This window comes from Homo sapiens, chromosome 6, assembly GCF_000001405.40.
Source record: "Homo sapiens chromosome 6, GRCh38.p14 Primary Assembly".
In the NCBI taxonomy this organism is placed as follows: Eukaryota; Metazoa; Chordata; class Mammalia; order Primates; family Hominidae; genus Homo; species Homo sapiens.
Window position 1 is genome coordinate 164,711,681 of NC_000006.12, and position 12,038 is coordinate 164,723,718.

Here is a 12,038-nt window from a genome sequence, read left to right on the forward strand (position 1 = left end):
AGGTTTAACTGTAAGAATTTTAGATGTGATTCAAATTGCAGGTTGAACTCTTTGAATACTCTCTGCTGAATATTCAGAACTGGTCCTAATCTGATCTGGCATATAAGAAGCTTTAAAATCATCAATCTTGTTTTCATAACAATAAGAGAAAGCTGAATAAACTGAAAATCAACAACTCTTCTTGGCTCCATGGGAGAATTGGGGTCACAGGATAAACCACTGCTCCCCAAATTAGAGACGAGATAGACAGACGGGGAATCACAGATTACCAGAGCAGAAGCCCAGGAGCAGAAACTGCTACTGGAGCTGACACCAGGGAGAATACAACAGAAAGAAGCGCATGTTTCAGACCTTATTTAAGAAGTCTGTAGGGAACCCAAGTATGACACAGGAGACAGAAACAAGGACAGAAGAGGAAATTTTTTCCTATGACAGACAGCTACAGAAAACAGCAAACACTGCCTAATTCACAGCCATTTAAACACAAAACCCCAAGCTAAAGCCTGGTTTACTTGAGTTGCTTAATGCAGCCATCATCATGTCTGACTATCAACAAATAACTACAAGGGCATATTTAAAGATTAAAGAACAATAACTGGAAGAGACAGAATAGGCACCACCACCAGACAAACATGGCAGAGTTTTGGAATGATCAGACCAGGAGTTTTAGACAACTGTGATTTATCTGCTAAGGGCTCTAATGGAAAAGTGAACAACGTGAAAAACAACAGATGGGAAATGTAAGCAGAAAGATAAAAACTATAATAAAGAATCAAACAGAAATGGTAGAAATAAAAAACACTGTAATAGAAATGAAGAATGCCTTGGAGAGGCTCAGCCGTAGACTGGATATGACCAAGAAAAGACCCAGGGAGTTTGAATGTAAGTCAGTAGAAGCTTCTGAAAGTGAAAGGCAAAGGCTAATTAAGAGATAAAACAGAATATTCCAGAACTGTGAGACAATTACAAAAGGTGCAAAACATTCATAATGGTAACACCACAAGGAGAAGAAACAAACAGACAAAAATTTGAATAAATTAAAAAAAAGTCTGAATAAAATTTGAAGTAATAATTATGGAAAATTTTCTAAAATTAGAGAAAGACACCAAACCAAACCAAATTGAGAAAGCTCAGAGAACAACAAGCAGGATAAATACAAATTATATAGAAAACCATTACATATATGTGTATATATGTAATTTGTGTATACACACACACATAGGTATAAACTGTAGGAAATCAAAGACAAAGATAGAATATTGAAAGAAGTCAGAGGAATGAGACATTCTACATATACAGAATTAGACTCCCTTTTATCAAACAAGAAAAAAGAGAGTAGAGAAAAATACTTAACTTTTTGAAAGATAAAAATCACCCATCTAGAATTAGGTATCTATCAAGATTATCTGTTAAAAGTGGCAGAGAGAGTTCCAGTTTTTGGTTTGGCATGTAAATAACTGGGAAGTTACCATTCTATCTCAACAACAAGTAAAAAGCTGAAGAAACTAAAAAATTAACAATTATTCTTAGGTCTTTAAGAGCAGTGAGGTCACAGGGCCACCTGCTGCCCCCACATTTGGAGAGACTGACAGGCAAATACAGAGAACGACAACTGACCAGAGCAGATACCCCTGAGCAGAAACCTCCTGATATGGTTTGGCTCTCTGTCCCCACCCAAATCTCATGTCAAATTGTAATTCCCAGTGTCGGAAAAAGGGCCTGATGGGAGGTTATTGAATCATGGGGGTGAACTTCCCCCTTGTTCCTGTGATAGTGAGTGAGTTCTCATGAGATTTGGTTGTTTAAAAGCGTGTAGCACCTCCCCATTCTCTCCCTCCTTCTCTGCCATGTGAAGACATGCCTGCTTCCCCTTCACCTTCCACCATGATTGTAAATTTCCTAAAGCCTCCCCAGTCATGTTTCCTGCACAGCCTGAGAAACTATTGAGTCAACTACACATCTTTTCTTCATAAACTACCAGGTAGTTCCCTACAGCAATGTGAGAACAGACTAATACACCCCCTCAGGAACCAATGCTGGGCTAGAGAAAACTAAACTGTAACTGACAAACTCCTGGAGGTCCATGGTGGACAAATTGAAGAAATTAGAATTTCAGGGAGACCGCGTCCCCGGGAGACCCTGACAGTTTTGTGAATTTGACCTTGTGGAGCTTTTTCAGGTTCTCACAATGAATATTGGAAAAAAGTCCCCTCAAGTTATCTGATAGAGAGAGGGGAAAAGAAATCATTTTAAAAATACACCAGAGTCTTTCGTTCATCTCACAAAGGCCTACCCTCAGGAGAAAGTATTTATTGAGAGCCTAACCTGCTGGGGTTTGTCAGAGCCTAACAGACCTGGGAGAAGTGTGCCAGCCAACTCCAGCCCATGCCAACCATCCTGTTCCACCTAAGGGTGGGAAGAGATGCACTTGTAAACTTCACAGTTCAGTGAAGCAGGCTTTCTGAAAGACTGAGTCCTGATTATAGTGCTATAGAAAGATTACCCCTGCTGCCTTACTACAATATTATTGAAGACCTGTTTACAGCAGTTCCTTTTACCCAGGATATCATGTTCAGCATTCAAGAAAAAATTACAAGACACTAACAGGCAAAAGGTAGTTCAAAGACACACAGTAAGCATCAAAACCAGGCTCAGATATGGCAGAGTTGTTGGAATCATCAGACTGGGGATCTAAAATGTCTGTGATAACTATGCTAAGGGTTCTAATCGATAAAGTAAACAGCCTGTAAGAATAAGTTGGCAATGTAAGCAGAGAGATGGAAATTCAAAGAAGTGCCAAAAAGAAATGCTAGAAATCAAAACACTGTAACAGACATAAAGAATGCCTTTGATGGGGTTATTAGAAGACTGGACATGGCTGAAGAAAAAAAAATATATGAGCTTAAGAATTGTATTAGTCCTTTTTCATGCTATTGATAAAGGCATACCTGAAACTGAGCAATTTACAAAAGAAAGAGGTTTAATTTGACTCCCAGTTCCACGTGGCTGGGGAAGCCTCACAATCATGGCAGAAGGCAAGGAAGAGCAAATCACGTCTTACATGGATGGCAGCAGGCAAACAGAGAGAGCTTGTGTGGGGGAACTCCTCTTTTTAACACCATCAGATCTCATGAGACTTATTCACTATCATGAGAACAGCACAGGAAAGACTTGCCCCCATGATTCAATTACCTCCTACTGGGTCCCTCCAATGACACATGGGAGTTGTGGGAGCTACAATTCAAGGTGAGATTTGGGTGTGGACACAGCCAAACCCATATCAAGTATATATAAATAGAAACCTCCATAACTGAAAAGCAAGGAGAAAGATACTGAAAAACAGACAAAAACAGAACAGAATAGCTAAGAACTATGGGGAAACTACATAAGGTATAAGTAATGCATGTGTAATGAAAATAGCAGAAGAAGAAAAAGAGAAAGAGAAAAGATGGAGAAAATAATTTTTGAGACAACAATCTGAGTTGTGGAAAAACTGAGTATTTCCTCAAATTAATGTCAGACACCAAACCACAGATTCAGGAAGCTCAAAAAATAGAAGCAAGATAAATACCAGAAAAACAGCAATGGCAAATATCATTTTCAAAGTACAAAAAATTAAACGTAAGAAAAAAATCCTAAAAGAAGCCAGAAGAAATACCCATCTTCACTATAGAGGAACAAAGGTAAGAATTACCTCTGATTCTCTTCAGAAGCCATGCAAGCAAGAAGAATAAAGAGTGACATATTTTAAATGTTGAAAGAAAAGTACCCCAACCTGGTTTTCTGTGCAGTGTGAAATTATTCTTCAAAAGTGAAGAAAAGCTTTCTCAGATTAAATAAAAATTTAGGGAATATATTGCCAGTAGGCGTGCCCTTCAAGGAATGTCAAAATAAGTCCTTCAGAGAAAAGGAAATAATATTATAGGTCATAAACTTTTATCGACTCAAAAAAAGGAAGGGCATCAGAACAGGAATAAGTGAAGGTAAAATGAAAACTCTTATTTTCTTATTCTTAATTGATCAAACAGGTAAGAGTTTGTTCAAAATAGTAACAGCCACAATACATTTAATTATGTAAGCTTATGTGTCTGTATGTGTGTGTGTATATATATATATGCATATATTTATATATAAGTGAAATTAATGACAGCATTGATACAAGAGAAATAAAAGAAAAAGTAGGATTATTTTGTTATTACAAGGTCCTCACACTGCCTGTGAACTGGTATAGTGTTTTTTAAAGTGGATTTGGATTGATTGTAAAAGCATATTACAAGCGCTAAAATAACCATTTAAAAAGCAGAAATGAAGTACAACTGATATGCTAAGAGAGGAGAGAATGGAATCATGTAAAATTCTCAATTAAAATCACAAAAGGCAGAAAAAAATGTAAAAGATTAATCTAGGAACAAAGAACAAAGCAACAAATGGTAAACAGTAAGAAATCTGGTACATTTATCAGCATCACGTTGAATATCAATAGTACAAACATACCAATTAAAAGAATAAAAGACAGAGGTGGTCAGAGTAGATTAAAAAACAAGACCCAACTATACGTTTTCTACAAGAAACTCACTTTAAATACAGACACATATAAATTAAACATAAATGGATGGAGAAAAATATACCATGTTGGTGCTAATTAAAAGAAAGTAGAAGTAGCTATATTAATTTTAGACAGAGCTGACTTCATAACAAGGGAGGTTATCAGTGATAATGAGGGGCATTACTTGGTGATAAAGAGGTGAATTTTCTAAGATGACATAATAGTCCTTAATGTATATGGGCCTCACAACAGAGCATCAAAACAGATGAGGCAAAAACTGATAGACCTGCAATAAGAAATAGATTAATCCACTTTTATTGTTGGGAACTTCAGCACCCATCTATCAGAAATGGACAGAGCCAGCAGGTAAAAATTCATCCAGTACATTGTTGAACTCGAGATCACCACCAATCAACTGGATATTAGGGACATCTAACCACTACTTTTCCCAACAAGAGCAGAATAGTTATTCTTCTCAAGCTCACATGGAACATTCACCAATATAGACCTCTTATTAGGATACAAAGCATACCTTAATAAATGTAAAAGAATTGCAGTTTTACAATGCCTGCTCTGATACCACGATGGAATGAAAATAGGAATCAACAGCAGAAAAATAACTGAAAAATCCCAAAATACTTAGAAAATTAAACAACACACGTTTAAATAATGTGTGGGTCAAAGAAGAAATTGCAAGAGAAGTTGTAAAATATTTTGAACTAAATGAAACTGAAAACACAACTAGTCAAAATGTGATGTATAGAGAAAGCACTTCTTAGAAGGAAAATTATATTATTGAATGTATAAATTTGAAAAAAAGATCTAAAATTAACCACCTAATCATCCAGCTTCAAAAATTAGAAAAAGAAGAGTGAATTAAATAGAAAGTCAGCAAAGAAAAGAAATAAAAAAAAAACAGAACATAAATCAGTGAAACTGAAAATAAGAAATCAATAGAGAAAATCAATGAAACCAAAAGATAGTTATTTGAGAAGATCATTGTAATTGATAAGGCTCTAGCCAGGGTAATTATAAAAAAAAGAGAACACTAACTATTGTATGAAAAGTCAAAGATAAAATATCACTACATAACCCATGCGCATTAAAAGGATAATAATTTTAAAAATACTGTGAAAAAATATATTCCCACAAATTCGATAACCTAGATGAGACAGACAAATCCCTTAAAAGATACAATCCACCAAACTCTTACAAGAACAAATAAACAATCTGAATAAGCCTATATCTATTAAAGAAATTGAATCAATAATTTATAACCTTCCTAAACTGAAGTCACCAGGCCCACCTGAGTTCACTGGTGAATTCCACCAAACATTTAAACCAGAAATTATACTGATTTTCTACATTCTCTTTCAGAAAAAGGAAGCAGAGTAAATACTTCCTAACTCATTCTATGAAACTAGAATTACCTGAATATAAAAACCAGACAAAGACATTACAGGAAAAGAAAACTACAGATGAATATCTATCATGAATATAGATGCAAAAATTCTCAATGAAATATTAGCAAATCATATCCAAATATATATATATAAATATGCATTACAACCAAGTGAGGTTTATTCCAGGTCTGCAAAGCTGATTAAACATTAGAAAATAATTTAATATAATTAATCACATCAATAGGATAAAGAAGAAAAATTATATCAATAGATGTAGAAAAATGCATTTGATAAAACCAACAGCCATTCATGGTTTAAAAAAAAACCCTCAGTAAACTAGGAATAAAGGGGACCTACCCAACGTGATAAAGAATAGAAAAAATCCTACAAATAACATGATACTTAATGGTGAGAAACCTGAAGTTTCCCTACTGAGATCAGAAACAAGGCAAGGTGGGGGTTTCCTCTTCCCACTGCTTTTCAACATCACACTGGAAATCCTAGCTAATGGAATAAGGGGGAAAAAGGAAGTAAAAGGTATACAGAATAGAAAGAAAGAAACATGAAAAATAGCTCAACATCACTGATCATTAGAGAAATGCAAGTCAAAACCAAAATGAGATACCATTTCATTCCAGTCAGAATGGTGATTATTAAAAAGTCAAGAAAAAACAGATGCTGGGGAGGTTGAGGAGAAATAAAAACCCTTTTACACTGTTGGTGGGAATGTAAATTAGTTCAACCACTGTGGAAGACAGTGTGGCAAATCCTCAAAGATTTAGAACCATAAATACTATTTGACCCAGCAATCCCATTACTGGGTATGTACTCAAAGGAATAAATCATTCCTTTATAAAGATGGATGCATGCGTATGTTCATTGCAGCACTATTCACAATAGTGAAGACATGGAATCAACCCCAATCCCCATCACTGAGAGACTAGATAAAGAAAATGTGGTACATATGCACCATGGAGTATTATGCAGCCATAAAAAAGAACGAGATCATGTCCTTTGCAGGGACATGGATGAAGCTGGAAGCCATCATCCTCAGGAAACTAACTCAGGAACAGAAAACCAAACACCACATGTTATCACTTGTAAGTGGGATCTGAGCAATGAGAACACTTGGACACAGAGAGGGGAACAAAACTTACTGGGGCCTGTCAGGGGAGGGTTGCGGGGTGGGGGGCAGTGGAGAGCATTAGGGAAACCTGCATATCCTGCACATGTAACCTGAAATTTAAAAAAAAAATAACTATTGAAAAAAAAGAAGAAAAATAAAACCATTTGTTCACAGATGACATGGTGGTCTATTATAAAAATCTAAAAGGATCTGCAAAGACAGACAAATACTTGTAACTAATAAGCAATTATGGCAAGGTTGCAGTATCCAAGGTTAATACGCAAAAGTCAATCACTTTCCTATATACTAACAATGAATAAGTGGAATTTGAAATTAAAAACATAATACAATTTACATTAGCACCCCCTCAACTATGAAGCACTTAGGTATAAATCTACCAAAATATATACAAGACCTATGTGAGAAAAAGTAAAACCCAGATGAAATAAATCAAATAACTGAATATAGAGATATTCCATGTTCATAAACAGGAAGTCTCAATATTGTTAAGATGTCAGTTATTCTAACATGATCTGTAGATTTAACATGATCTGGTCAAAATTCCAGTAAGTTATTTTGTGGATACTAACAAACTTATTCTAAAGTTTATATGAAGATGAAAACAATCCTGACTAACCAACACAGTATTGAAAAAGAATAAGTCAGAGGACTGACATTACCTGACTTCAAGCCGTACTATGGTCAACCTATACTAATCAAGACAATTTGATATTTGTGAAAGAATAAACAAATAGATATCTGGAACAGAATAGAGAAACAATGTGATATTTGTGAAAGAATTAACAAATAGATCTCCGGAACAGAATAGAGAGTCTAGAAATATACCCACGTAAATAAAATCAACATCTTTGATAAAGTAGAAAAGGTAATACATTGAATAACAGATTGTCTTTTCAATAAATGATATGAGAATAAATGAACATCCACATGCAAAAAGTGAATGTAGACACAGACATTATACTTGACAAAAATTAACTATAACTAAATTTCCTAGAAGATATGACAGTAGGAAATCTAGATGACCTAATGTTTGTTAATGACTTTTAAAAACAGCACCGAATGAGTGAAAAATTGATAAAGTGGGCTTCATTAAAATTAAAAATTTCTTCTTTGCAAGACAGTGAGAAGACAGGCCACAAACTGGCAAAAACTATTTTTAAAAAACGTATCTTCTAAAGCACTGTTATCCAAAATATACGAAGAATACTTAAAACCCAACAATAAGAAAATGAAAAACCCAATTAAAAAATGGGGCAAAGACCTTAAGAGATACCTCACCAAACAAAGTATATAGATGGCAAATAAGCATATGGAAAGGTATTCTGCGTCATGTGTCATCAGAGAAAGGCAAATCAGTATGCAGCTGCGTTCAATTTTATGGTATTTTGTTGAAGATAGTTTGTGATTCATAAGGCATATCATTCTGTATATTTTTTGTGTTATTTGTCTGGCTTTGGGATGACAATAATGACCTCATAAAATAAACTAGATTATTTTATCTTATATTTTTTAGAATCGTTTGAAAGATTAGTGTTAGTTCTTCCTTAATCATTTGGTAGAATTCAACAGTAAAGCTAACTGGACCGGGACTTTGTGTGGGTGTATGTGGAGGAAGATTTTAATTAGTCATTACATCTGTTTTATTTTTGTAAGTCTAATGGGGTTTTCTATTTTTTAGTTAACTTTAGTAGTTTGTGTCTTTCCAGAAATTTGTCCGTTTATTTGAAGTTATCTAATTTATTAACAAGCAATTGTTCAGAATAATAACTTAATATCTCTTTATTTTTTTAAGGCTGGTGGTAATTGCAACTGTTTCATTTTTGATTTTACTAATTTACGTCTTTTTTTTTCTGGGTTTTCTAGATAAAGGTTTGTCAATTTTGTTGATCTTTTCAAAATACTAACTTTTGGTATCATTGATTTTTCTCTATTGTTTTCGATTTCATTTATTTACAACCAATTATTTACTATTTCCTTCTTTTTGCTTGCCTTGGGTTTAGCTTCTTCCCTTTTTCTAGTTTATTCAGATACAAAATTAGGTTATTCATTTAAGATATTTATTCTTTTTTAATATAGATATTTACAGCTATATATTTCCATCTAAGCATTACTTTGCATCCTGTAAGTGTATCTTGTGTTTTCGTCTTCATTAACATAAAAATATTTTTAAATTTCTTTTGTGATTTATTCTTTGATCCATTTGTGATTTAGCATTATGTTAACTTTTACATATTGTGAATTTCCAAAAATTTTTTTGATCTCCAGTTTTATTCCACTGTGGCCAAAGAGCAAATTTTAATGATTTTAGTCCTTTTTAATTGGTTGAGACTTGTTTTATGGCTTAATTTATGGTCTATGTTGTAGAATGTTCAACATTAAATGTTCAAGTCAAAGAGAATATGTAGTCTTTTATTTTGAGGTGAAATATTCTATCAATGGCTCATAGGTCTAATTGTTTCTAGTGTCATTCATGTGTTCTGTTTCTCCATTGATCTTCTGTTTGGTTTTTCTATTTATTATTGAAAGTAGGGTATTGAATTCCCTAACACCTACTGATGAATAGCTTATCTTCCTTTCATTTCTGTCAGTTTTTTCTTCATGCATTTTGGGCCACTGTTTTTAAATGCATATATGTTTTAAATTTTTATATTATTGAAGATTTGGTCCATTTATCTTCATAAAATATCCTTCTTTGCTTCTAGCAACAATTTTCGTCTTGAAGTCTATTTTATCTGGTTTTAAACCACTCCAGCTCTGTTTGCAAGGTATATCTTTTCCTTTCAACGTATCTGTGTCACTAAATCTAAAGTATGTCTCTTGTAGATAGCATAACGGGAGTGGTTTTCTTTTTAATCCATTTTGGCAATCTCTGCCTATTCATTAAAGGGTTTAATCCATTTACATTTAATATAATTAACCAAGATTGTCTATACGTGTTCCATTCTGCTGTTTGCCTTCAATATGTCTTATATCTTGTTTCATTTCCATTCTTTTATGTTAAATAGATATTTTCCATTGAAGCATTTTATTTCCTCATCATTTATTTTGCTATATTTTTAGATTGTTTTAGTATTAGCTTGTTTACTATAATTAAGACTTTAATTTAAAACAACATAGTTTTTTTCTTTGCCAACACAAATTGACTTTTGTGTTCCTACAGTTAATTTTTTATTTCAGATATTGTACATTTCAACTACAGAATTACCACATTTTAAAAATAATTTATATGTCTTTTTTGATATTCTATTTTTGGTAAGATGCCATTTTATTAGTTCTTTAGGAAATTTTTCCCTTAGCATTTGAAAATATTTAAAATATATGCTTTAAAATTATTTGTATAGTAAGTCCAAAGCTTGAGCCTTCTTAGGGACAGTTTCTACTTTCTTCTTTTGTATGAACCATATTTTTTTGTTTCTTTGATATCTCATAAATTTTTGTTGAGACTGGACTTTCTACATAATATATAGCAACTTTGGTAATCATATCACTTTATTCTCAGGATTTGTTTTTGTTGTTGGTTATTGTTGTTCTTTTTCTTATTGCTATTGGTTCTAACTTATGTAATACATATTTTTTTATTTGTATCCACTGAAGCTGACTTAATTGTCAGATGATTAGACAGAGAACTGTCCAGAATCAGCTTTTGCTGGGGGCTCTGTGTATATATTGAGGCACACCTTCAATTGTCAGGCATACATACAGTTTACAATTCTACTTGGGTTTTCACTGTTTTTTTGCACAAGACCTCAAGGTCAACTACAGGTGAAAGCTTAGGGCTTCCTTGGGTCTTTTCCAGGAGTGTACACAGCCTTGTTCAAGTGCAATGCTGAACAAGTGATTATGGCCTTCTAGATTCTTAAGAATATTTTAGAGCTTTTTAAAGCCCCCTGTGAACATCTCATCTCACTCTCCTTTTTCTTTTAAGCTTTTTGTTCAGTTCATTGCTTTTCCCAATTGTTATTACCTATGCTGGCAGCTGCAATATTAATTTAATTGCTGTTGGTTTTTTCCAACAAACACCCCCAGGAACAAAAGACTGTTTCCACAGAGTGAGCTATAAGTCAGTTCAAATAAAGACAAATCTTATGAGTGTGGCTTTCCAAAGAAATACCTGACAGTCAAATAATAACACATATATAGGAACTGGGATTTGTAGAAGGTCTAGCCCATTTCTGTCCCATCATGAGGCTGTTTGGCTGCTGGTTTTCACTATGTCTGAGGACTACTAATTTTCAAGCCTACTCTGAGACTTGGGAGAAAATATGGGACTATGGCTGATAAAAATACAGCAAAGTTCACTATTCTTAAGAAAATATAAATTTTTTTTATTATTATACTCTAAGTTTTAGGGTACATGTGCACAATGTGCAGGTTAGTTACATATGTATACATGTGACATGCTGGTGCGCTGCACCCACTAACTCGTCATCTAGCATTAGGTATATCTCCCAATGCTATCCCTCCCCCCTCCCCCCACCCCACCACAGTCCCCAGAGTGTGATGTTCCCCTTCCTGTGTCCATGTGTTCTCATTGTTCAATTCCCACCTATGAGTGAGAATATGCGGTGTTTGGTTTTTTGTTCTTGCGATAGTTTACTGAGAATGATGATTTCTAATTTCATCCATGTCCCTACAAAGGACATGAACTCATCATTTTTTATGGCTGCATAGTATTCTATGGTGTATATGTGCCACATTTTCTTAATCCAGTCTATCATTGTTGGACATTTGGGTTGGTTCCAAGTCTTTGCTATTGGGAATAGTGCCGCAATAAACATACGTGTGCATGTGTCTTTATAGCAGCATGATTTATAGTCCTTTGGGTATATACCCAGTAATGGGATGGCTGGATCAAATGGTATTTCTAGTTCTAGATCCCTGAGGAATCGCCACACTGACTTCCACAATGGTTGAACTAGTTTACAGTCCCACCAACAGTGTA